Genomic DNA, 26,551 nt, shown 5'->3' on the forward strand with positions numbered 1-26,551 from the left:
TACTTGTTATCTAGGTCCAAGAATCATTAAAAACCTTTGTTTCTTTTATATATACACATACATATCTCAAAACATAGTTATTTTTACTTTTTAAGTTATATAAATAATATACATTTTCAATATAGGAAAATGGGAAGATACAGATAAGCAGTGGTCTTATATATATCCTTGCAGCTTTTTCCCTTCGGACATACATATTTTGTTACAGTAATTCCTGCATCTCAAAAATAATACAAAAAGTGAAAATAAGTTTAGACCAGCCTTAACCTTAGCTCAGGTGCTAATTTATATATAAATCTATGTGCATTCATTTCAATTTTGACTTACAAAATCTAAAGTGATGCTGTTATAATACTAAAAGATTCCACTTTAAACAGCAGCAGTTTCAGAATAATTAAAAATTTGATTCAGGCATGAGGCTGATAAAGAACGAAGTTTTACTTTTTTTCATTAAAATAAGTAGCTTTCTACTATTGCATCCTTTGAAGAGAAGAATGTTCTGCTGGTTTGGCCACAAGCTCTTTAGATGGTTACTTTTAGTAAACTCTTCATTCATCCTGGCATTCTTGAAAATATTCGTCAAACATAGAGGAAGACTCATCTTCACGTTCCTGACACAATGGAAACACAAAATAGAAAATATATTCATTTCCCCTCAGTCAGAACTAGTATGTGTTTATATATTTTTCAGGTAATACCCTATGTGGAACTAATTACCCAGCACCAGCTCCAGGTGCTGCTTATAGGTAACTGTTAATAGTAAGAAAAGGCATGATTGACAGATTTTTTTCCAGTTATGTAGTAAATTAATGTGCTTCTATCCCAGAAGCATTTCTCATTTGAATTTACATTCAAGACGATTCTTGGCTAATTTCCTGTGATAGTGCTTTACTTCGCTGGTAGTCTAGTGGTCAGGAAAATAAAAAATAAAAAAATAAAAAAATGCTTAGCTGATACTATCATTAGTCTTCTCAATGACATACGTGAGGGCAGCCCAATTTCACCTCCTCTTTACACATACACCCAAGCTCTAAGTACACACAGGCTTCATCATACTGCCTCAACAAAAGTAGAGTAAAAGTGATACTGCTTGTGGAGTACAGTGTTAATTTCAGAGATCACCCAGAAAAGCCCAGTTAACTGCCATCAATAAGACAAAAAACTAATTTAAGGAGTCGCCTGGATTATGCAAGAGTCCAGTGAGTGCTGGCAAATATTTTTATCAAAAGCTAACAAACACCCCAAACCAGAAATTACCTTTGGTTCTTTAAATTCTAGGTCTTCTCCATATTGAATGGCAAAATCAATATGCTGCAATACAATGTTCATGCTTTCTTCATCTGACTGATCGTAAGGTAAAAATCGAACCATGCTGTAGTCATCAATCTACAAGTTGTGGATTTCAAGAAAAGTTCATTCTGAAGTTGTGCAAAATACATAATTTTCAACTTATATTTGAGTTTTATAACCATTTGTACTTCTGAATAAAAACACTGATGTGTTTACAGGAAGAGGAGGAGAAGGGATAGCTAGACACAGAGAGTAAATCATTGATTTTTCTGACTTCTGATCTGCTAGAACACTTGTTAGCTTATTACTTTAACTAGACACTGTTTCACGGCTATTTATCTGAATTCAACAACCACTGGAAATTTCACAAGAGAACAAACAGTCCTGAACTCTCCAAATGGCTTGAAATAATAAGATGTTAGTTTATTTATTGGCCACTACCAATAACTACTTCTAAATTAAACTGCTGACTGACCAGCCCACAGCCCTTTTCCCTCCACTTTGCAGAAAATAGGGTTGAACTGTGCTTTTTATATGGCAAATGACTGGACACAGGCAAACACTTGACCAGGTGTTTAGGAAAAAAACCCAAAAAACTTCATCTTTTTTTTTCTTTTTTTTTTTTTTTGGGGAGACAGAGTTTCGCTCTTGTTGCTCAACCTCCACCTCCAGGTTCAAGCAATTCTCCTGCCTCAGCCTCCTGAGTAGCTGGGATTACAGGTGTGCCCTACCATGCCCGGCTAATTTTGTATTTTTAGTACAGACGGGGTTTCACCATGTTGGTCAGCCTGGTCTTGAACTCCTGACCTCAAGTGATCCACCTGCCTTGGCCTCCCAAAGTGCTGGGATTATAGGCGTGAGCCACTGCACACCTGGCGCCCTTTTTGTTTTTGTTTTTTTTTGAGATAGGGTTTCTCTGCTGCCTAGGCTAGAGCACAGTGACATGATCTGATCATGGCTCACTACAGCCTTGACCTCCCAGGCTCAAGGGATCCTCCCACCTCAGCCTCCACAGTAGCTGAGACTACAGGCGTGCAGCACCATGCCTGGCTTTTTTTTTTTTGAGACAGAGTCTTGCTGTTGTTGGACCGGGCTGGAGTGCAATGACAAGATCTCGGCTCACTGCAACCTCCACCTCCTGGGTTCCAGCAACTCTCCTGCCTCAGCCTCCCGAATAGCTGGGATTATAGGCATGCACCACCACGCCTGGCTAATTTTTGTATTTTTTAGTAGAGATGGGGTTTCACCATGTTGGCCAGGCTGGTCTCAAACTCCTGACCTCAGGTGATCCACCCACCTCGGCCTCCCAAAGAGCTGGGATTACAGGCGTAAGTCACCGCGCCTGGCCTAATTTTTTTTTGTTTTTGAGACAAAGTCTTACTCTGTCGCCCAGGCTGGACTGCAGTGGCATGATCTCAACTCACTGCAACCTCCGCCTCCCGAGTTCAAGTGATTCTCCTGTCTCAGGCTCCCGAGTACTAGGATTACAGGCGCACACCACCATGCCCAGCTAATTTTTTTTTGTATTTTTAGTAGAGACAGGGTTTCACCATGTTGGCCAGGCTTGGTCTTGAACTCCTGATCTCAAATGATCAGCCTGCCTTGGCCTCCCAAAGTGCTAGGATTACAGGTGTGAGCCACTGCACCTGGCCTAATTTAAAAAATTTTTTTAGAGATAGGGTGTCACTATGTTGCCCAGGCTGGTCTTGAACTCCTGGACTCAATCTTGCTGCCTTGGCCTGCCAAAGTGCTAGGGTTACAGGCATTAGCCACTGCACCTGGCCAAAAAATCCAAACTTTAAAAGCTTACCAGTCCACATATAGCTTTAGTCAGTTTCTTGAATTTTTTGCTTCTTAAGTCACTTGTAGAATCTTCTAATAAAGAATACATGTCTGGATCTAAAAATCTTTAAAAGACAGAAAGACTGATGAATTCAGGAGACTAGGTTTATAAACCAGCCAAACTTCCCATCTAAATAAAACAGAAGGTTCATCTCTGCAACTGAGATCTGATAATAATGGAAGAACAGTGAACTCACTTCTCAATTTCCTTTTTTGCTTTTTTACTCAGCAGATCCATTTTTGTCATGATGTTGACTTGCGGAATTTCTAGAGAGATCATGGCACTCAGGGCTGCCAAGATGCCAGAAATAAACTGAAGGAGGAAACAGAAAAGGGAAGATGAACTGACTGTTGCCAACAGTTACCTGGTCTGCATAAAGAGTCTTCTATTCCTCACTGGAACAGAACTGGCCTAAATAAAAGAAATGCAAGCTGGACGTGGTGGCTCATGCCTGTAATCCCAACACTTGGGGAGGCTGAGGCGGGCAGATCACCTCAGGTCAGGAGTTCAAGACCAGCCTGGCCAACGTGGTGAAACCTTGTCTCTACTAAAAATACAAAATTAGCCAGGCATGGTGGCATGTGCCTGTAATCCCAGCTACTCAAGAGTCTGAGGCAGGAGAATCACTTGAACCCAGGAGGCGGAGGTTCCCGTGAGCCAAGATTGCGCCACCACATTCCAGCCTGGGCAACAACGGCAAAACTTGGTCTCAAAAAAAAAAAAAAAAAAAAAGAAATGCCAGTTCAGAACATGTGGAAAAGGCAAAATTATTTATATTTTATTAAAAGTAATGCTAGCCATATAGAAAAAAATGTTCCCAAATCATTGGGAATCAAATGCTTGATTCTTGGTTCCCAAAGGTGAGGGAAGATATAGATAACATACAGTGATCACAAATTTCAATTTAGACAGCATTTTAATTTCCTTTCCCATCTAATATTCCTTAAGAGCTATTAATAAAAAATTTGATCTTGGTAGTTCATAAACTGGACAAAAGGTCCTCAGAAAATTAAAAATAGACTATTTTATAAAATAGCCATCTGCTTCAGTTTTTTCTCCCCCACTACTTCCTCTTTTTTTTTTTTTTTGAGACAGAGTCTCACTCTGTCACTCAGGCTGGTGTGCAATGGTGCGATCTTGGCGATCTTGGCTCACTGCAACCTCTGCTTCCTGTACTCAAGCGATCCTCCCACTTCAGCTTCCCAAGTAGCTGGGACTACAGGCATGTGCCACAACGTCTAGCTAATTTTTATATTTTTTGTAGAGACAGGGTCTCACTCTGTTGCCCAAGCAGGTCCGAAACTCTTGGGCTCAAGCAATCCTCCTGCCTTGGCCTCCCAAAGTGCTAAGATTATAGCTGTGAACCACTTCACCCAGCAACCTCAGTTTTTTTCTTGGTAAGCAGTTCCTCCTAAATCTCTATGATATAATAATTTACTATTTTTGATTAACAACATGTTATAATTTAATAATAAAAGGGATAAAGTAACTCTGGAATCATTTGTGAAATGTTCAGAATCACACAATAATTAAAGGAACTGTCATCTGCTTGAACTCATAGTTTAAAAATCTTTAAGAGAACTTTGGGAGGCCAAGGCAGGTGGATCACTTGATGTTTGAGGTCAGGAGTTTGAGACCAGCCTGGCCAACATGGTAAAACCCCGTCTCTACTAAAAATACAAAAATTAGCCAGGCATGATGGCACACACCTGTAATTCCAGCTACTCAGGAGGCTGAGGCACAAGAATCACTTGAACTGGGAGGCGGAGGTTGCAGTGAGCTGAGATCACGCCACTGCGCTCCAGCCTAGGCAACAGAGTAAGACTCTGTCACACACACAAAAAAAAAAAAAAAAAAAAAAAAAAAATCTGTAAGAGATTTAGCTTCAGACCTTGAATGACTCCACCATGAACTGAGAATCAACAAGAAAAACTCCACAGACTCGGAACTCCCACTGCTCGAGCTGCTGGACCAGCTGTTTCATCACAGGCAGGTGAGTGTACAACTCAATCTGACCTACATGAAGAGTATTGCAAGAATTTTAGAAATAGCAAGTATGTTAAATCATCAAGTTAGAGGAAACAAATTTTCCCCATAAGATGGACAAAAATAAAAGCCAACACATTTTTAAGGGGCCCACAGCCTCTCAAAGCAATCATAAAACCTAAGGTACTGCCACCATAGGAATCCCTAACTATTAAGTTTTATGTAGAAAATGAGGTTCTCTGGTTGGGCAGGGTGGCTCATGCCTGTAATCCCAGCACTTTGGGAGGCTGTGGCAGGTGGATCACTTGAGGCCAGGAGTTCAAGACCAGCCTGACCAACATAGTGAAACCCCATCTCTACTAAAAATACACAAAAATTAGCCAGGCGTGGTGGTGCGCGCCTGTGGGATGCTGAGGCACAAGAATTGCTTAAACCCGGGAGGAGGAGGCTGCAGTGAGCCAAGATCACGCCACTGCACTCCAGCCTGGGCGACAGAGTAAGACTCTGTCTTTAAAAATAAAAAAAAAGAAAGAAAGAAAGAAAATGAGGTTCTTCACACTTTAGTTTTCTGCCAATCAATATGAGTGTTATTGGCCAGATGCCATGGTTCACACACCTGTAATCCCAGCACTTTGGGAGGCTAAGGTGGGAGGATAGCTTGAGCCCAGGACTTTGAGAGCAGCCTGAGCAATATAGTGAGATCCTATCTCTACAAAAATAAATAAATAAGTGCTACAAAGATATCTATAGTTTGGGAATATTCATCAAGCTGTATACTTATGACATATATACTTTTCTGTGGGTATATGTATGGTCAATTAAAAGCAAGGGGAAAAAAGTGAGGGCCATAAATGGTCAAAGCCAGGTTAGGCTCAAGTTGAAAATTCACAATTTGGGCTGGAGGTGGTGGCTCACACCAGTAATCCCAGCATTTGGGAGGCCGAGGCAGGTGAATCACCTAAGGTCCAGAGTTTGAGACCAGCCTGGCCAACACAGTGAAACCCTGTCTCTACTAAAAATACAAAAATAGCCGGGTGTGGTGGTGGGTGCCTGTAATCCCAGCTACTTGGGAGACTGAGACAGGAGAATCACTTGAACCCAGGAAGTGGAGACTGGAGTGAGCCGAGATGGCGCCATCATACTCCAGCCTGGGTGACAGGAATGAAACTCAGTCTCAAAAAAAAGAAAAAAAAAAAAGAAAATTCACGATTTGGCTTCAGAAGCCATGATGTGCTATTATCTGTCTCCTACCAGTCACACCTCATGACAATTGCCTCTTTGTTTATTATGCTCCAGCCACACTGGCCTTTTCAGTGCCTTAAAACAGCTTTGTTCCTTCCTCCTGGGAGGTGTTCAGCAGGCTGTGCCCTCTGCCTTCCTCACCCTCAGCCTCCAGCCCAGCTGAAAGGCCGCCTCAGATGCCTCTCTAACCGCCATTATCTGTGTGATGATCTGTGCTACTCCTGTGGAATACTCAATGACAACTGAATATTAAATAATCATTTGGATGCTTTTTGTTTGTACTGTCTCGAGTTCTGCCAAATGTGAGCTCCATGAGGCCAGAGACCATGGCCATCTGTGCTCTATGGTATTCCCAGTGTACAAAGCAAGCACTTAATAGATATACTTTTTTTTGTTTTTTTTTTTTGTTTTTGAGACAGAGTCTCATTCTGTTGCCCAGGCTGGAGTGTAGTGGTACAATCTTGGCTCACTGCAAGCTCCACCTCCCAGGTTCATGCCATTCTCTTGCCTCAGCCTCCCGAGCAGCTGGGACTACAGGCGCCCGCCACCATGCCTGGCTAATTTTTTGTATTTTTAGTAGAGACAGGGTTTCACCATGTTAGCCAGGATGGTCTCGATCTCCTGACCTCGTGATCCACCTGCCTCGGCCTCCCAAAGTGATGGGATTACAGGCGTGAGCCACTGCGCCCGGCCTCAACAGATATACTTAGTAAGTGACAGCCATTGAATAAGCTTGGTACTTTACTGCAGTATAGTTTAGAGCTACAAATACTCACTCTCCTTTCTCCTACTAAGGATGGAACTATCAAGACTTTAAGGAAGACAATGCATTCAAATTGTTGATTCACCTGGACAATCAAAAAGGATATAGTCGTCCTCTACATGGCCAAGACAGTTCTCCAGCCAGTCAAAATTATTGGCAAAGTACTCCATGCAAAATACCAATCCTCCGTTGGGACCGAATCGCAGAGAATCATCCTCCATTACATCATCCACCTCGATCAGTTCCCGGATGTCTGAAAAGGACAGATAGGGCCCAGAATATATGTGTCCCTTCAAAAATTGTTATCCTTACTAGAAATAGAACATAAAAGTTAATAATTACATAAAAAACCCATATGCAGGAAATTATTTATGTACATGGCTTTTCCCTGTAGCAGTGTCCATCAATAGAGAACTGAGCAAATAAATTATTGTACAGCCCGACAATGGAATACTACACAGCCATAAATGGGGAAAATCTCTTTAAGTATTAATAATAATACAATCTCCTAGGTATATTGTTCAGTGAAAAATGCAAGGTGCAGAACTGTGTAAGAATGCTATCATTGGTGTTAATAAAAGACAAAAATTCACTACATAGACATAATACATATACATCTTGAATTTTATGTGCACAGGCTATGAAAGAACACACCAGAAACTGGTAACACTGGCTGCTGCCAGGGAGGGGAGCTGATTGCTGGGATGCAGAGCTGAGAGGAAGATGTTTTCCTGTATACTTACTCTTTAGTACTTTTACATTATGAACCATGTGAATATGTATTACCTATTCCAAAAAAGTACAAAACCAAAAAAAGAAAACAGATTACCATTTCTTAACACAATGACACTAAGGAAACTATTTCACCTCCTTGAGCCTCACTTTCCTTATCCTGGGTTAGAAGGATGAGAACTATGAGATAATATATCAAAATCACCATCAGGGGCTGGGTGCGGTGACTCCTGCCTGTAATCCCAGCACTTTGGATGAGGCAGGCGGATCACTTGAGGTCAGGAGTTCAAGACTAGCCTGGCCAACATGCTGAAACCTGTCTCTACTAAAAATATAGAAATTAGGCTGGGCATGGTGGCTCATGCCTGTAATCCCAGCACTTTGGGAGGCCGAGGTGGGGGGATCATGAGATCAGGAGTTCGAGACCAGCCTGGCGAACATGGTGAAGCCCCATCTCTACTAAAAATACAAAAATTAGCAGGCATGGCGGCGCACGCCTGTAGTTCTAGCCACTCCGGAGGCTGAGGCAGGAGAATCACTTGAACCCAGCAGGCAGAGGTTGCAGTGAGCCAAGATCACGCCACTGCTCTCAAGCCCAGGCGACAGAGCAAGACTCCATCTCACTTTCCAACTTGGACCCAGCAGAATGGCTCCTGCAAAGAAGGGTGGCGAGAAGAAAAAGGGCCATTCTGCCATCAACGAAGTGGTAACCCGAGAATACACCATCAACATTCACAAGCACATCTATGGAGTGGGCTTCAAGAAGCGTGCCCCTCAGGCACTCAAAGAGATTCAGAAATTTGCCATGAAGGAGATGGGAACTCCAGATGTGCGCATTGATACCAGGCTCAACAAAGCTGTCTGGGCCAAAGGAATAAGGAATGTCCCATACTGAATCCGTGTGCAGCTGTCCAGAAAACGTAATGAGGATGAAGATTCACCAAATAAGCCATATACTTTGGTTACCTATGTACCTGTCACCACTTTCAAAAATCTACAGACAATGTCGATGAGAACTAATCACTGATCGTCAAATACATCAAATAAAGTTATAAAATTGAAAAAAAAAAAGACTCCATCTCAAACAAAAACAAACAAAAATAGAAAAATTAGTCAGGTGTGCTGGCATGTGCCTGTAATCCCAGCTGCTCGGGAGGCTGAGGCAGGAGAATCACTTGAACCCAGGAGGCAGAGGATGTAGTGAGATGACATGGTACCACTGCACTCCAGCCTGGGTGGCAGAGAGAGACTGTCTCAGGAAAAAAAAAATCACCAACAGGAGAGGCTTAAAAAATTCTGGTATGGTTATCTTACTAATTTTGGGGAATCAGTATATAGAATCTTCTACCTTAGGTTTTTACTTATTTTTGTGCTCAAACCTACATTCTCCATTCACAAAGGACTGAGCTTCATTCACAGTCACATTTATACTGACAACACCTTCCTACCCCCTCCCTCAGCAATCAATAACAGATAACTGATCCAAATTGGGACAATCAATCTGGCTTTCTTTCTTTTTAGACAGGGTCTCACTCTGCTGCCCAGGCTGGAGTGCAGTGGCATAATCATGGCTCACTGCAACCTTGACCTCGTAGGCTCAAGTGATCCTCCCACCTCAGCCTCCTGAGTGGCTGGGAATAAAGGCACCCGCCAGCATGCCAGGCTAATCTTTGTATTGACTTGTAGAGATGGGGTTTCACCATGCTTCCCAGGCTGGTCTTGAACTCCTGGGTTCAGGCCATCCATCTGCTTTGGCCTCCCAAAGTACTGGGATTACAGGTGTCAGTCATAGCGCCCATCCTAAGTCCTCTTTTTAACTAAGCTAGCTTAGAGTGGTTTCTGTTTGCTGCAGCCAAATGGTTCCAAAGTAATACAATGCCTTTTTTCTCAAAGAAAAGCATTTCACATCTCCTCCTCTCCCTTCAATCTGCCTCCCCGCAACCTGCTCACTCATTAACAGAAATCAGAAGTTTCCCTTTGCACTTAGTGAGTGCAAAGAGAACGTCCCCAAACCTAAAACGACCTGTCTCCCTCCACAGGAAATTATATCATACACTGAACAAAGCTGTAAGACCTCACCCTTGATTCCTTACTTTGCTATGCCTTCTTGGTTCAATCCCCCACAAAATGCTGTTAATTCAACTTGCAAAATATATTGAATCTGTCTGCTTCCTTACATCTCCACCGTGACCACCCTAGTCCTGGTGTACACCTGGCTAACTACAACAGCGGCAGTGCAGGTTGTACTTCTTTTTTTAATTTTAAAATGGAGTTTTGCTCTTGTTGCCCAGGCTGGAGTGCAATGGTACGATCTCGGCTCACCAGAACCTCTGCCTCCCGGGTTCAAGCGATTCCCCTGTCTCAGCCTCCAGAGTAGCTGGGATTACAGGCATGTGTCACCACACCCAGCTAATTTTGTATTTTTTTTTTTTTGAGACGGAGTCTCGCTCTGTTGCCCAGGCTGGAGTTCAGTGGCGCGATCTCGGCTCACCGCAAGCTCCGCCTCCCGGGTGCACGCCATTCTCCTGCCTCAGCCTCCCCAGTAGCTGGGACCACAGGCGCCCGCCACCATGCCCGGCTAGTTTTTTGTATTTTTAGTAGAGACGGGGTTTCACTGTGTTAGCCAAGATGGTCTTGATCTCCTGACCTTGTGATCCGCCTGCCTCGGCCTCCCAAAGTGCTGGGATTACAGGCGTGAGCCACCATGCCCAGCCATGCAGGTTGTACTTCTACTCTCAACCCACTAGAGTCCATTTTTCATCTGAGCACCTGAGTTATTTTTTAAAACATAAATCAGGCCAAGTGCGGTGGCTCATGCCTATTATCCCAGCACTTTCGGAAGTCAAGCTGGGTGAGTCACTTGAGCCCAGGAGTTTGAGACCAGCCTGGAAATCGAGACCAGCCTGGGCAATGAGACCAGCCTGGGCAACATGGAGAAACCCCGCCTCTACAAAAAATACAAAAATTACCCAGGCATGATAGTGTGTGCCTGTAGTCCCAGCTACTTGGGAGGTAGGAGGATTGCTTGAGTCCAGGAGGTTGAGACTGCAATGAGCTGTGATCAGGCTACTATACTATATAGCCTGGGTGACAGAGTGAGACCTTGTCTCAAAAACAAAACGACAACAACAACAAAAACAAAAAAAGGCCGGATGCAGTGGCTCACGCCTCTAATCCCAACACTTTGGGAGACTGAGGCCAGCAGATTGCTTGAGCTCAGGAGTTTGAGACCAGCCTGGGCAGCATGGTGAAACCCTGTCTCTACAAAAAAAAAAAAAAAAAAAAAAAAAAAAAAAAAAGTATAAAAATTAGCCAGGCATGGTGGCACGCATCTGTAGTCCCAGCTACTTGGGAGGCTGAGATGGGAGGATGGCTTGAGCTCAGGAGGCAGAGGTTGTGTCACTGCACTCCAGCCTGGGCGACAGAGCTGGACCCTGTCTCAAAAAAAAAAAAAAACCCCAAAACGTGTATCAAATGTCAATCCTTTCCTCTTCTTAAAACCCTCTAGTGGCACCCCACTGACAACAGGATAAAATCCCATCTTATCATGTCCTGTTAGCCCCTACCCACTTCTTTCTTTCAGACATTACGCTTTAGCTCACTGACATCTTAGCTTTCCTGGAGAATACCAAATCCTTTCTCACCTCCAGGCTATTTATTTATTTATTTTATTTTTCAGAGATGGATCTTGCAATGTTGCCCAGGCTGGACTTGAACTCCTGGGCTCAAGTGATCCTCCCACATCAGCCTCCCAAGTAGCTGGGACTACAGGCACATGTCCCTGCACCCAGCTTGGCATATTTATTGATCTAAATGTTCCCTCATTTTGGAAGGACTTTCCTCAGCCTGAGGAGCATATTACCATCCTTCAGGTCTAGGCTCAAAGATCCCCTCCTCAGAGTCACCATTCTCCCTGACAATTCTAGCTAAAGCAACCTCAATGAGTACTTCTCATGAGCCTGTCTGCAGTCATCACATTCTGTAACATGTTCATCATGTTGTTTATTGCCTATTTCCTAAAGGGTTGGTGTGGGCAGGGATAATGTCTGTATTATTCTCTGCTATAACTCCGGTGTCTGGCGTAAAACAGGTGTTCAACAGACACTTGAATGAACAAATTGAAAGAATTAAAAAAAACAAACCCAGGCTCCTGACTTATAGTGATCAGCAATATACCACATGATTCACTACAGCAGGACTAAGGACAAAAGGGACAGAATGAAAGGGTGCTGAGGGAAGTGTCCATTTACTTTTTTTTTTTTTTTTTTTGAGATGGAGTCTCGCTCTGTTGCCCAGGCTGGAGTGCAGTGGCGCAATCTCGGCTCACTGCAACCTCTGTCTCCTGGGTTCAAGCGATTCTCCTTTCTCAGCCTCCTGAGTAGCTGGGATTACAGTCACATGCCACCACACCCAGCTGATTTTTTTGTGTTTTTAGTAGAGACAGGGTTTCACCATGTTGGTCAGGCTGGTCTCAAATTCCTGACCTCGTGATCCACCCGCCTCGGCCTCCCAAAGTGCTGGAATTACAGGCATGAGCCTCCGCGCCCGGCCCCATTTACTTTTAAATCTTACATCAAAGACCAAGAAAGGATACTGTCACACATATCACCATGAACAGATGTGACCAAATGACAAGCTCATGCTATTTACCATAACACCAGGGATCCAGACTATAATAAGTATCAGTGCTAAGCAGCTAGTACTCACTGCCTCCCCAGCCCTTACTGTTCCTGAAGGTGGGGGGAGCCTTTGCTCAGGACTTACCAGCCATCACGGAGTAGTTGAAGTGTTCTGCTGCTGGATCCAGGTTTACAACTTGGACAGACCGGTTGAGGGCTTCACAGTGCTGGACCATGGTGGCACAGTAGGTGCTCTGTAATGTCACAAGGCATGAGAGGTTAAAGCAACAGGTAGTGTAGTGCTACCTTCCATACTCTGGAATACTATCCACTAAGGTCAAAACTATGCCTTCATCAACCAAGAGGCTGACTGACAACAAGGGAAAAAGATACCTGACTGGGCTGCAGATTCAAACCTGACTTAGACTCATGGGTACCTCTGGGGAATTTACTTCTCCACTCTGCCCTTCAATTTTCGTGTCTCTAACTGGGATGTCCTCCATAATCACTAAGGCTCCTTACTGTTCTAAATGTGACAAGCGGTATTTAAAGGGAAGAGTTCTGGTTACATAGTGTAACACCTAACACAGTGTCTCTACCAGGACTTGTACAGTGCAAACAAAGCTTTAGGTAGGATGGTCAGGGATGATGTCTCTGAGTAGGGGAGATATGAGTATATGAGAAGGAGTTTGCCAACCTAAGGGGAAGAGCATTCCAAGATGAAAGAACGCCAAGATCAATAAATAGTCTGGAGGTGGCTATCAGTTTGTAACTTTTGGTTTAGATAATTCTTTATCCATTATGTAGTTGTTACCGTACTATGTTAACATCTCGGGCTGGGTGCAGTGGCTCACACCTGTAATCCCAGTACTTTGGGAGGCTGAGGTCGACGGATCACCTGAGGTCAGGAGTTGGAGACCAGCCTGGCCGACATGGTGAAACCTCGTCTCTACTAAAAATACAAAAATTAGCTGGGCGTGGTGGCGTATGCCTGTAATCTCAGATACTCAGGAGGCTGAGGCAGGAGAATCGCTTGAACCCGGGAGGCAGAGGTCGCAGTGAGCTGAGATCACACCACTGCACTCTAGCCTGGATGACAGAACAAGACTCCTGGCTCAAAAAAAAAAAAAAGTCTCTAGGCTACTTGTCTGTGTCATACTCTGTTTAAAGGCAGAGATGTGTCTTATTCAGTTTCCCAAGCACAGGGACTAGCGCAATACCTAGTACATAATAAATACTTGATAATTGTTTCTAATTGACTTATTATGTTTAAAGATAAGCTCCACAAGGGCACGGATTTTGTGTGTGCATGTTTTTTTCCCCATACAACCCCCAGGGCCCAAAACAGTGCCTGGGATAAAGAACGTACTCAAGGAATGTTTCTGATAGTAAGCATCAAAAGCTTATAAAGATACTTGTTTAATACAATCAGCCCAAAAATTAAAATAGACTATAGAAAAAACATCCATCATGCTGTCCTCTCAGTGCCTTTACACATACTGTTGTCTCTGTCTGGAATGCCCTCTCCATACATCACACACTGTATCTTTTTTTTTTTTGCAAAGGGTCTCACTGTCACCCAGGCTGGAGTGCAGTGGCACCATCATAGCTCACTGCAGCTTTGACCCAGGCTCAAGCGATTCTCCAGCCTTAGCCCCCCGAGTAGGTGGGACTATAGGCTCTCGCCACCATGCCCAGCTAATTTTTGTATTTTTGGTAGAGACAGGGCTTCACCATGGTGCCCAGGCTGACCCTGAACTCCTGGGCTCAAGTGATCTGCTGGCCTCAGCCTCCCAAAGTGCGAGGATTACAGGCTTAAGCCACCACACCTGGCCACATCACACTGTATCTTAATTGACAGGTCATCTATTTGTCTTCCCCAAAAGACTACAGACTCTGGGTAAGTTAAAGGCCATAGGTATCTTAGTTACATGTACATGTTTTTACCCAGAATAAGTCAACAGCTTAGAACAATGTGTTTGTTAAAGACTGAGGCCACACAACACCTCCACAGACTCTAGTGTTTCCACACTTCTTCTTTTTTTTTTTTGCGACAGTACCTCTGTCACCCAGGCTGGAGTGCAGTGGCACGATCACCACTCACCACAGCCTCAACCTCCTGGGTTCAGGTAATCCTCCCACTTCAGCTTCCCGAGAAGCTGGGACTAGAGGTACCTGCCACCAGGCCTGGCTAATTTTTGCATTTTTTTGTAGAGACAGAGTTTCGCCGTGTTGCCAAGGCTGGTCCCAAACTCCTGGGCTCAGGCGATCCGTCCACCTCCATCTCCCAAAGTGATAGGATTACAGACGTGAGCCACCACGCCTGGCTATGTTTCCCACACATATGTTATTTGATCCATATCTTCACCATTCTCACTGTATTTGAATGTTCCTAACATTCCCTTAATATTTGTTTACAAGAAAAAATTTTATCCCTACTGTAAACTGAAAACCACTTATATTTGACATAACGTGAAATTAGACATAAAATTATATAAAATCTTTAAATGTTCTATTTTTAGCTAAATACAGGTGCCTATTAAAAGCTCTGAGACTAAGAACTGCTCTCTGAAAAGACCTGGGGATTAAAGAAGTGCTGAAGATACACACTAGCACCGAGCACAACTTCTCCTAAATGCGAAGTTGAGAACTGAAAGAGAAATGAAAAGGGAACAATTTCCCTAACACATTATCTGATGCTCCTTAATGTGGGGTCCATGTACCACCTACCACCTAAAAGCACCTTAAATACCAAAAGTCCATGTCCCAAGTTCTGAGAAACAGTAATTAATGAGACCCCACTTTACCCTCCTGGGAGCGAGACAGGGCCGGATTCTGGAGTTGAGACAAAACTGGATTTATATTTTTTTGCGGGGCAAAGAACTTAATTAACCTTTCTGTATCTCGTTTTCTGTAAAATGAGAAAAATGAGATCTCTCTCACAGGGTTGTTGTAGAAATAAGCGAGGCGTTTCATCTGCTGCCTGGGGCTTAAGTATACAATAAATATTAACAACTACCATTATTTCCCTTTCAAAACAACAACAAAAAAGAACGTGAAGCCAGACAGCAGAAATGAGTTGCGTGGGGTCTCAGGGTTCCCAGTACACACACCCGCCGGCTCACTCCCTCAGGACCCAATCTCCCGCCTTCCACGAACTCCTACTTTTCTCTCCTTGTCCCCGCAGATCCTCACCTTCCCGCTGCCCGCGGGGCCCATGACCAGCTGCGCATACCGAGGCATGTTGGCTCCCGGAGCCGCCCGCCACACTCCCTTAGCCTTCGCGCGACGCCCACTGAGCTCCGGGAAAGTGAAGTGCGAACCAATCGCAATCCACATTCTTTCTACGCCTCCAGTTCTACCACACCTCCTACTACGGGGCAGCCCGCGGGCCAAATCCCGTGAGAAACGCGTCCTGAGAAAAAAGGGGAGGGGCGAGGGAGAGGATTTGCGCGTGCGCAAAAGTAGTTGATGGAAATCGGCCGTTGGGATGCTGTCTAAGCTTGGATACCTGAGTAATAACGGACAACAGATAAAGCTCCGCATCCTTGCGCCACGTGCTTCGGTCCGTGGTTTGCGTGCAGACGTTTGACCTGTATGGTGACCCTCGCGATTTGCAAATGTGCTGAGGATCTGGAATACTGAAGTGGAAGGCACCTCTTGTTTTGGGGAGCATGTATATTTCCCTCCTGTGACGCACTGCTTCCACAGAGAGGTGCAAACGTGCAAACGCTCAGCGACCGCAGCGCTCCTGCCCCTCCCCCACCGTAACTCCGGGGTCGCGGATCTGCCCGCCCCGCTCTCCCGAAGCTGTTCGGGCAGTGTCCGAACGGCTTCGGAGGGGCGAGAAGCCAGCATCCGAGCCGCCTCTCCGGAATACCAGCAGCCTGACGCACGCGTGCTGTCGGGGGAGGGATGCTGGGACAGCTGCTCCCGCACACGGCTCGCGGTCTCGGCGCCGCGGAGATGCCCGGCCAGGGTCCGGGGTCCGACTGGACGGAGCGTAGCTCTTCTGCAGAGCCGCCCGCTGTGGCCGGGACCGAGGGTGGCGGCGGCGGGTGAGGTTGGGGGCCCCGGGGTAAGGGTGGCAGCATGGGGCCCCCGGGTCGTGAGGCCCCCGGGTCGTGAGCCCCGTGGAGGAGGGCTGCGGCCGACCTCTCGTCTCGGGGGCTGGCCCCGGTGCCCTCAAGTGAGAGGCGGGGAGCAGTTTTGTTGTGGACAGAGGGCAGAGGGGAGGACTGCCTCGCGGTTGAGGGAGGGTCTCTGAGGGAAGCTTCGGAGGAGCGTTTGGTGCAGTGGCCACGAGGTGACTGCGACAGTCGCCCGCGTGCATCTCTCTGCCCCGAGGGGGCGCTGCGAGCCCTGCTGGGACGTTTGCTGTCTGGCACAGGACTGTGTGTCCACCGAAAGGCGAGGCGGGAGGGACAGAGGAGGAAGATGTCCCCCGGTTCAACTGGGGGCATCCAGGCCCATAAACCAGTTCCTTCCCTCTAGTGACATGAGCCACCTTCCTGTCAAACGGGGATTTCTTTTTCTTTTTTTTTCTTTTCTTTCTTGTTTTTTGAGAGCGAGACAGTCTCGCTCTGTTGCCTAGGCTGGAATGCGGTGGTGCGATCTCAGCTCACTGCAACCTCAGCCTCCCAGGTTCAAGTGATTCTCCTGCCTCAGCCTCCCGAGTAGCTGGGATTACAGGCGCCTGCCACCACGCCCGGCTAATTTTTGTATTTTTAGTAGAGAGGTGGTTTCACCATGTTGGCTAGGCTTGTGTCGAACCCCTGACCTCAAGTGAGCCGCCCGCCTCGGCCTCCCAAATTGCTGGGATTACGGGGTGAACCATTGCGCCCGACCTCAAACGAGGATTTCTAATCGCCAATGAGACCAATGACTGAATATCCGAGGTGCCTTGATCTTGACATTTTCTTCACACTGAAGTTCCTTTTTTCACAAATCTATTTCGTTTTGAGCAGGTTTTTACACCTATTTCCTAGATAGTGAAGACAGCGAGCTGTTGAAGTCACTGCTGGAGACTCTACCTCCTCTTCCTCTCCCTACTTTATTCCCTAAAAGCAAGAACTGCGATATGTTTGCCGTTCAGTACAACCCGCAGTCAGGGCCCCTGTTGCACCCATGGCCATCCTTTTTGTTTTTTTTTTTTTGAGACAGAGTCTCGTTCTGTTGCCCAGGCTGGAGTGCAGTGGTGCCATCTCAGCTCACTGCAAGCTCCGCCTCCCGGGTTCACGCCATTCTCCTCCCTCAGCCTCTGGAGTAGCTGGGATTACAAGCGCCTGCCACCACGCCCGGCTACTTTTTTGTATTTTTAGTAGAGACGGGGCTTCACCGTGTTAGCCAGGATGGTCTCGATCTCCTGACCTCGTGATCCGCCCGCATGGCCGTCCTTTTTGTCTCTGGTGCTACTGAAGACTTCTTAAAGATGGGATGGAGTCTTGGGTTTCTTTTCTGTTCTTCACAGTCCTTGGCCGACTGCAGGATCCTGGTGTATCAGGAGATACGTGAATTTTTTTTTTTTTTTTTATTGAGACAGAGTCTCCCTCTGTCACCCAGGCTGGAGTGCAGTGTCACGATCTCAGCTAACTGCAACCTCCGCCTCCTGTGTTCAAGCAATTCTCCTGCCTCAGCCTCCCAAGTAGCTGGGACTACAGGTGTGCGCCACCACGTACCTGGCTAATTTTTGTATTTTTAGTAGAGATGGGCATGAGCCTGTAATCCTGGAAGGTTCTATTATGATCCCCACTTTATGGATGACAAAACAGGCACAAAGAGGTTGTTTGTCCTTTCCTTTTATCTCCGCCTGTCGTTCATCTCCATGCTTCCTTTAGTTTATCCAAACTCTTAAAACTACAATTAAAAAAAAAGACAGTATGCCCTTCAGTTTGGTTTAAGGAACCCCATTAAAAAACACAAACCAAGACTAATTTATGAAAAGCTTATATTCCCAGAAATACAAAATAAAATTTTCAAACTAGAATCAGGTTTATTATGCTACATGATACAATGTTGGCACTGGCAGGGGTCTTAAAAATCATCAATTCCGGTCATATTTACTAATCTGAAAGGGGAAGTGATCTGCCAAAAATCCCATTATTAACTAATGGGAACTCCGGAACTCCTTACTTTTTTTCTTCTTTTTTTTTGAGATGGAGTCTCGCTCTGTCACCCAGGCTGGAGTGCAGTGGTGTGATCTTGGCTCACTGCAACCTCCGCCTCCCAGGTTCAAGCGATTCTCCTGCCTCCTGAGTAGCTGGGACTACAGGCACGTGCCACTACGCCTGGCTAAGTTTTTGCATTTTTAGTAGAGAACGGGGTTTCACCATGTTAGCCAGGATGGTCTCGATTTCCTGACCTCGTGATCCACCCGCCTCGGCCTCCCAGAGTGCTGGATTACAGGCGGGAGCTACCGTGCCCAGCACTTTTTTTCTTTAAAGTCAGGTTTATTGAGGCATAATTTACACAAATTAAAGTCTTACTTTTTCATGTATAATATGATGGGTTTTGACAAATGCACATGGCTATGTAAGCACTGCCACACTAAAGATACAGAGCAGCTCTATCACTCCTTCAAAACTCCCTCATACCTTATAAAGTCAACCTTTGAGAAAGGAAGACACAGGAGGGTTGCCAGCAGAGAAGTGATGTGATCTTACTTTACTTAAAAAGGATCACGCTGGTTGCTAGTTGGAGAATAAACTAGAAGGAGCAAGCGTAGAATTAAGAAGTTGGAATACAAGAAAACGATATGGTGGCTTGGAATAAAATAGCAAAGGAAGCGGCGGTGAAAAGTTCATAACAAAAACTTTATAAACTTGGCGCCTGGCCCATGAACTCTTGGTCATTGAATAAATTGCAGGATGAGGATCAGTTGTTTTGTCTTAAGTTTAGAAAAGAAAAAGAATTTGTACGAAATTAGAAACATTACAGACCAACTTATTAGTTCTAGCACACCTTAATTACTATTCAAAGAACAGTCTTTCGGCATGGCGTGGTGGCTCACACCTGTAATCCCAGCACTTTGGGAGGCTGAGGCGGGCGAATCAGTTGAGGTCAGGAGTTTGAGACCGGCCTGGCCAACATGGCGAAACCTTGTCTGTACTAAAGATGGAAAAATTAGCCGGGCGTGGTGGCGGGCACCTGTAATCCCAGCTACCGGGAGGCTGAAGTGGGAGAATTGCTTGGACCTGGAAGGCGGAGGTTGCAGTGAACGGAGATCACGCCATTGCACTCCAGCCTGGGCAACAGAGCAAGACTCTACCTCAAAAAAGAAAAAAGAAAAAAAAAAAAGAACAGTCTTTTCAATACCCAAATCACTTCATTAAAAATAAAGACAGCAAGATAATCACATGGATAGCCCAGGAGCCCCAACTACTTTATTGAGCTCACTGTAGGAATGAGATTAGGAAGCTATAAAATTAAGACCCAGGATAGGCATGGTGGCTCACATCTGTACAAAAATTAGCCAGGCGTTTTGGTGGTCCTGGCTACTTGGTGGCTGAGGATCGTTTGAGCCCAGGATTTTGAGGCTGCGGTGGGCTATGATCACGACACTGCACTCTAGCCTGGGTGAAGGAGGGAGACCCCATCTCTAAAAAAGGAAAGAAAAAAATCTTGGAGCCATTAGGATTTAACCAGAATTATAGGAAAAAATTTGTAAGACATTATTTCTGATGGAAACATGAAAAGTAAAAATAATATGCAACACTATCCTTTTTTAAAATTTGAAATATGTTGGTTGGGTGCAGTGGCTCACACCTTTAATCCCATCACTTTGGGAGGCTGAGGCAGGCAGATCATCTGAGGTCAGGAGTTTGAGACCAGCCTGGCCAATATGGTGAAACCGTCTGTACTAAAAATACAAAAATTAGCTGGGTGTAGCAGCGCTAGTCCCAGCTACCTGGGAGGCTGAGGTGGGAGAATCACTTGAAACTGGGAGGCAGAGGTTCCAATGACCTGAGATCATGCCACTGCACTCCAGCCTGGGTGACAAAGTGAGACCCTGTCTCAAAAAAAAAAAAAAAAAAAAAAAAAAAAATTGAAATATGTTGTTCAGTGCTTGTAACATTGTAATTATTACATATTATTTATATGCTTTATTTTTTCAACAGATCAGCTGGATACTCTTGTTACCAGAATTCCAAAGGTTCTGGTGAGTAGTGCATATAAAGCAGATAATACTTATAAGTAACATGGTTCTGAGAAGCCTATTTGTCTGTAACTACTTACACAATAGAGTTTTTTTCTTTTTTCTTTTTTTTTTGAGATGGAGTCTCACTCTGTTGCCTGGGCTGGAGTGCAGTAGTGCGATCTGGGCTCACTGCAACCTCTGCCTCCTGGGTTCAAGCGATTCTCCTGCCTCAGCCTCCTGAGTAGCTGGGACTACAGATGCGTGCCACCATGCCTGGCTAATTTTTCTATTTTTAGTAGAGACAGGGTTTCGCCATGTTGGCCAGGCTGGTCTGGAGCTCCTGACCTCAGGTGATCCACCTGCCTCCGCCTCCCAAAGTGCTGGGATTACAGGCATGAGCCACCACACCCAGCCCACAATAGAGTTAAAAATAGATTGTATTAGCATCCTTGGTGAACTTAGTCTTTAAGATTTCAAAGAGCAATCAGGGAGGTTTTTCTTGTCTGTTGGTACAGTATATTTTACATCAAGCATTTTTAAAATTAGCAGTGAATCCTAAAAGAACTGTATTTATAGCTGACGTTGGTTGAAAAGCACAGAGCACAGCCTGGGGTTTATACATGGATAGAAGAAAAAAATTCTAAATTGAATAGCTTCAAAGAATACAAAATATTTCTCAGTGCTGATGTTTTCCTCTCACTTGAAATAAAGAATAGAGCTTTCAAAGTATTCACCTCTTCTCTGCTGGAGTTAAGAGAGTAGGTAAAACAATCCCCCAAAGGTCTCTCACTAATTGCTTTTTTTCCCTTGGGAGAGGAGCTGGAATTAACTGACTGTAGGAGTGTGTGTGTATGTATATATATTTTAAGTATAGTAGTTATAATAGGTTTTAAATGTTTCATTTAAATTCAGTGATACATAAACCTGGGTTCACTTTGCTTTTCCTTGGTAAATATATAGTCATTACAGTTACCTGGGAAAAAAATATACAGACATATATGTGTGCATATATACATATATAAATAAATAATATGGTCATTTAAAAAATGTGTTGCAGTCTGGGTTCATTAATTTAGATTCCTCACCAAAATTCTTACTGAATTATAGTTCAGTGTAAAAAAGAAAGGAAACACAAAACAATATAATTATTAGTAATATATTCCAGATGTGGAGGGAAATAAAGAAATATTAACAATTATCAGTATATTAGATTGACTTAGTTATATAAAAGAAAAATTTCTAAACAAATATATGCCTAGTAAAAACTCTGAAAGGCAATATGTCAAAGTGTTTTAAAATAATTACTACTAGGCCGGGCACGGTGGCTCACACCTGTAATCCCAGTACTTTGGGAGGCCGAGGTAGGTGGATCACCTGAGGTCAGGAGTTCAAGACCAGCCTGACCAACATGGTGAAACCCCGTCTCTGCTAAATATACAAAAAAATTAGCCAGGTGTGGTGGTGCACGTCCGTAGTCCCAGCTACTCGGAAGGCTGAGGCAGGAGAATCACTTCAACTCAGGAGGCGGAGGTTGCAGTGAGCTAAGATCATGCCACTGCACTTGAGCCTGGGCGACAGAGCGAGACTCTGTCTCAAAAAAAAAAAAAAAAAAAAAAAAAAAATGCTGGGCGCCGTGGCTCACGCCTGTAATCCCAGCACTTTGGGAGGCTGAGGCGGGCAGATCACCTGAGGTCAGAAATTCGAGACTAGCCTGACCAACATAGAGAAACCCCGTCTCTACTAAAATAAAAAATCAGCTGGGTGTGGTGGTGCATCCCTATAATCCCAGCTACTCCAGGCAGGAGAATCGCTTGAACCTGGGAGGCAGAGGTTGCGGTGAGCCGAGATCGCGCCATTGAACTCCAGCCTGGGCAACAAGAGTGAAACTCCATCTCAAAAAAAAAAATTAATTAAAAAAAATTACTACTAGATTGTGGAATTAAAAGTTTTTATTTTCTTTTTATACACTTAGTTTACTTCACTAATCTGCAGTGAACAATGTGTATTGCTGTTTATAATTGGAGGGGAAAAGGGCCAGTATTCAGCAAGTGCTTGATTGTCTTCCTCTATAGTTGAACTTAAGGATTCATTCTATTATTTAAAATAAACACGATAGCCAACTACTGGCAGTGACTCTAGATATTACTGTTATTATTATTTTTGAGACGGAGTCTCACTCTGTCGCCCAGGCTGGAGTGCAGTGGTGTAATCTTGGCTTATTGCAACCTCGGTCTCCCAGGTTCAAGCGATTCTCATGCCTCAGCCTCCCAAGTAGCTGGGATTACAGGCACACGCCACCATGCCTGGCTGATTTTTGTATTTTTAGTGGAGACGGGGTTTCACCATGTTGGCAAGGCTGGTCTTTAACTCCTGACCTCAGGTTATCCTCCCGCCTTGGCCTCCCAAAGTGCTGGGCAGGCATGAGCCACAGCGCCTGGCCCTCTTTATTCTTAAATACTTCCAAGTGTGTATTTCCTTTATTTATTTATTATAAGGCAAGGTTTCACTTTGTCTCCCAGGCTGGAATGCAGTGGTGCAATCTCAGCTAACTGCAGCCTCGACCTCCCTGGCTCAAGTGATCCTCTCGCCTCAGCTTCCCAAGTAACTGGGACTTCACCCCTGGCAAAAAAAAAAAAAAAAAAGTGGGGGTATTTATCTTAGCTATATTTTGTACTCTATCCCCCAGGCAGGAGTGCGGGGATACAATCGGCTCACTGCAGCCTCCACCTCCTGGGCTCAAGTGATCCTCCCACCTTACCCTCCAGAGTAGCTGGGACTACAGGCATGCGCCACCACACCCAGCTAATTTTTATATTTTTAGTAGAGATAGGAGTCTTGCCAAGTTGCCCAGGCTGGTCTCAAACTCCTGGGCTCAAGCAATCTGAACACCTCGGCCTCCCAAAGTGCTGGGATTACAGGCGTGAGCCACCACGCCTGGCCTATCTTAACTACATTTATTTATCTCACAAAATAATTATCCAAATCAAGAACTTGAAATACTGTTATCTATAGACCTTATTAAGATATCGTTTATTATTTCAATAATATCCTTTATAGCCAAAAATAAAAAAAATCCAAGTTTATGAATAGCATTCAGTTGTCAATGTTTTTTTTTTTTTTGAGACGGAGTTTTGCCCTGTCACCCAGGCTGGAGTCCAGTGGCGCGATCTCGGCTCACTGCAAGCTCTGCCTCCCAGGTTCACGCCATTCTCCTGCCTCAGCCTCCCGGGTAGCTGGGACTACAGTCGCCCACCACCACGCCCCGCTAATTGTTTGAATTTTTTTTCTTTTTAGTAGACATGGGGTTTCACCATGTTAGCCAGGATGGTCTCAATCTCCTGACCTCGTGATCTACCCGCCTCGGCCTCCCAAAGCGCTGGGATTACAGGTGTGAGCCACCGCGCCTGGCCTAATGTTTTTATGTTTCTTAGCTTTTTTCTTTTTTTTGAGACGAAGTCTCACTCTGTCGCCCAGGCTGGAGTGTTGTTGCACAATCTTGGCTCACCGCAACCTCTGCCCCACCAGGTTCAAGCAGTTCTTGTGTCTCAGCCTCTCGAGTAGCTGGGATTATAGGCACATGCCACCATGCCTGGCTAATTTTTGTATTTTTAGTAGAGACAGGGTTTCACCATATTGGCCAGGCTGGTCTCAAACTCCTGACCTAAAGGATTTGCCCACCTCGGCCTCCCAAAGTGCTGGGATTACAGGTGTGAGCCACCGCGCCCGGCCGACATTGATATTTTTGAAGAATACAGGCCTGTGGGGTTTTGTTTGTTTGAGACAGGTTCTCACCCTGTTGCCCAGGCTGGAGTGCAGTGGCACAATTACAGCACACTGCAGCCTCAACCTCCTGGGCTCAGGTGATCCTCCCACCTAAGCCTTCAAGTAGTTGGGACTACAGGTGTGAGCCACTACATCTGGCCCAGGCCTGTTCTTTTGTAGAATTTCCCTAAATTTGGGTTTGTTTGATGTTTCCTCCGATGAGATTCAGCTTATGTCCTTCTAGCAGGAATAGCACAGAAGTGGTGCTGAGTTTGTCCAGGTTAATCATATCAGGAGAACCCTGCTGTGCATTAGTCCCTTACTGACAATGTTGTCATCGTTTGGTTCAGGTGATGTCTGCCAGCTTTCACCACTGTAAAGTTATGATTCTTACCCTTTGTAAAGGTAAAAGTATATGGGGATATACTTTGAGACTTTGTATATAGCCTATTACTTCTCAAACTTTCATCCATTAATCATCCATTCTTTTATTTATTTATTTATTTATTTTGAGACGGAGTCTCGCACTGTCTCCTAGGCTGGAGTGCAGTGGTGCAATCTCGGCTTACTGCAAGCTCCGCCTCCCGGGTTCACGCCATTCTCCTGCCTCAGCTTCCTGAGTAGCTGGGACTACAGGCGCCCGCCACCACGCTCGCCTAATTTTTTTGTATTTTTTTTAGTAGAGACGGGGTCTCACTGTGTTAGCCAGGATGGTGTCTATCTCCTGACCTCGTGATCCACCTGCCTCGGCCTCCCAAAGTGCTGGGATTACAGGCGTGAGTCAACGCGCCCAGTCTTGTCATCCATTCTTGACTAAATCCATTATGATTAAGATGGCTAGAAATATGTGCTTTTTCTTTTTTTTTGAGACAGAGTCTCCCTCTGTCGCGCAGGCTGGAGTGCAGTGGCGCAATCTCGGCTCACTGCAAGCTCCGCCTCCCGGGTTCATGCCATTCTCCTGCCTCAGCCTCCCGAGTAGCTGGGACCACAGGTGCCTGCCACCATGCCCGGCTAATTTTTTGTATTTTTAGTAGAGACGGGGTTTCACCATGTTAGCCAAGATGGTCTCAATCTCCTGACCTTGTGATCTGCCCACCTCTGCCTCCCAAAGTGCTGGGATTACAGGCGTGAGCCCCCGTGCCCAGCCATATGGACTTTTTCTAATTCCATCATTGATTCTACATTTTTCAGATGGCTTTCTAATGAAGAGCTTCCCTTTCTCTACCATTTTTCAATTTATATATTTATTATATAATTGTCAACACATGGATTCTTATACCATTGAATAGGTTAAATACTTTACTTTAAATCTGTTATTTATTTTGATGCTCAAATTATCCCAGATTTGGCCAGTGGGAGCCCTTTAAAGATGGCTCTTGTTCTCTGTCTCCATTATCCTTTGAAAACTTTTATCTTTTAGCACAAAACGTTGTACTGTCCCTGTTCTACCCTTGATGTCTGCCATTTCTCCAAAGAGCCTGTGGTAGGCAGCATGGTCCCCAAAGATGTTCACACTCTAATCTCTCTAACCTGTAAATATGTTATGTTACATGGCAGGAGCAATTTTGCAGGTAAAATTAAGTTATAACCCTCAAAAGAGATGTTATTTTGAATTTTCTGGGTGGGCCCAGCCTAGCCCAAGGCAGAGGAGTTTCTCTGGCTGAAGTCAGACAGATGTGGGGAAGAGAAGCAGTTAGATGTGAAAGGAGAGATCTTAACACCCCATTGTTGGCTTGAAGATGAAGAGAGCCACATGTCAAGGAAATAGGGACTTTGGTTTTGTAAGGAACTGAATTCTGCCAACAACCTGAATGAACCACTACAGGCTCCAGGCACCCCAGTCCAGCCCAGGCACCCCGATGCCTTGATTTTGGCCTTGTGAGATTCTAAGCAGAGAACCCAGTGGATTCATGTTATACTCAGTCTTTTGAGCTATAGAACTATGAGTCAATACGTGAGTGTTGTTTTAAGCCGCTAAAGTTGTGTTGTTATGGCAGCAAAATGAAACTAACATAGAGCCCCTTTTTAAAAAATTGTATATATTTAAGGCCGGGCGCGGTGGCTCACGTCTGTAATCCCAGCACTTTGGGAGGCCGAGGCGGGTGGATCACGAGGTTAAGAGATCGAGACCATCCTGGCTAACACGGTGAAACCCCCGTCTCTACTAAAAATACAAA

General features: G+C 44.9%; 2 protein-coding genes, 1 long non-coding RNA gene and 1 pseudogene across 13 annotated transcripts in view, besides 3 other annotated features; 2 read left to right on the plus strand and 2 right to left on the minus strand.

Annotated features, from left to right (window-relative positions):
- Positions 1-16,236, minus strand: GPN3 (GPN-loop GTPase 3). Of its 8 annotated transcripts, none has more exons than XM_047428934.1 (9): positions 15,987-16,236; positions 15,671-15,890; positions 12,621-12,729; positions 7,210-7,377; positions 5,025-5,149; positions 3,330-3,445; positions 3,101-3,197; positions 1,258-1,386; positions 1-611 (listed from the first exon to the last, which is right to left on the minus strand). In XM_047428934.1, exons 1-9 carry the CDS (start codon positions 16,019-16,021, stop codon positions 549-551), a joined length of 1,062 nt encoding a protein of 353 aa, XP_047284890.1. In that variant the 5' UTR covers positions 16,022-16,236; the 3' UTR covers positions 1-548. The 8 variants fall into 8 exon arrangements, with proteins under 8 accessions (XP_047284890.1, XP_047284889.1, NP_001157844.1 ...); XM_047428933.1 differs by having other exon boundaries at positions 15,641-15,890; NM_001164372.2 differs by lacking the exon at positions 15,671-15,890.
- RPL31P49 (ribosomal protein L31 pseudogene 49) lies at positions 8,475-8,850 on the plus strand (annotated as a pseudogene).
- Positions 15,884-16,013: an enhancer, noted in NCBI's record as "active region_7004". NCBI's record gives its function as "activates an Ori minimal core promoter by ATAC-STARR-seq in GM12878 lymphoblastoid cells {active_cell/tissue: GM12878}" and the evidence as "EXISTENCE:reporter gene assay evidence [ECO:0000049][PMID:35858748]".
- Positions 15,942-26,551, plus strand: part of FAM216A (family with sequence similarity 216 member A) — a 21,959-nt gene continuing 11,349 nt past the window's right edge. Inside the window, exons 1-2 of one of the 4 annotated variants that reach the window (XM_024448959.2) lie at positions 15,942-16,190; positions 20,593-20,633. Coding sequence is in view for 2 of the 4 variants with exons in the window: in NM_013300.3 (NP_037432.2) it covers positions 16,391-16,533; positions 20,593-20,633 (184 nt within the window). In the remaining 2 variants the exon portion in view is untranslated. Of the gene's footprint in view, positions 16,191-16,359; positions 16,534-17,256; positions 17,374-20,592; positions 20,634-26,551 lie in introns of those variants that run through there. The other 3 variants (XM_005253875.6, NM_013300.3, XM_011538246.4) reach the window with 3 other exon arrangements.
- Positions 16,424-16,733: a silencer, noted in NCBI's record as "silent region_4856". NCBI's record gives its function as "represses an Ori minimal core promoter by ATAC-STARR-seq in GM12878 lymphoblastoid cells {active_cell/tissue: GM12878}" and the evidence as "EXISTENCE:reporter gene assay evidence [ECO:0000049][PMID:35858748]".
- Positions 16,934-17,103: an enhancer, noted in NCBI's record as "active region_7005". NCBI's record gives its function as "activates an Ori minimal core promoter by ATAC-STARR-seq in GM12878 lymphoblastoid cells {active_cell/tissue: GM12878}" and the evidence as "EXISTENCE:reporter gene assay evidence [ECO:0000049][PMID:35858748]".
- LOC124903016 (uncharacterized) overlaps positions 17,804-26,551 on the minus strand; it is a 19,005-nt gene continuing 10,257 nt past the window's right edge. Inside the window, exons 2-3 of the long non-coding RNA XR_007063459.1 lie at positions 18,154-18,331; positions 17,804-17,966 (exon numbers count right to left, since the gene is read on the minus strand). This is a non-coding gene — a long non-coding RNA (uncharacterized LOC124903016). The remainder of the gene's footprint in view (positions 17,967-18,153; positions 18,332-26,551) is intronic.

The sequence above is a fragment of the Homo sapiens genome, chromosome 12 (genome assembly GCF_000001405.40).
Source record: "Homo sapiens chromosome 12, GRCh38.p14 Primary Assembly".
In the NCBI taxonomy this organism is placed as follows: Eukaryota; Metazoa; Chordata; class Mammalia; order Primates; family Hominidae; genus Homo; species Homo sapiens.

Coding starts and splice junctions, on each gene's coding strand:
- GPN3 (XM_047428933.1), bottom strand. CDS start 16,021: ATGCGGAGCTTTATCTGTTGTCCGTTATTACTCAG. Junction 15,891..15,986: donor TGTTGTCCGTTATTACTCAG/GTATCCAAGCTT, acceptor CTTTTTTCTCAG/GACGCGTTTCTCACGGGATT. Junction 5,150..7,209: donor TATCCTTTTTGATTGTCCAG/GTGAATCAACAA, acceptor CTCTTCATGTAG/GTCAGATTGAGTTGTACACT.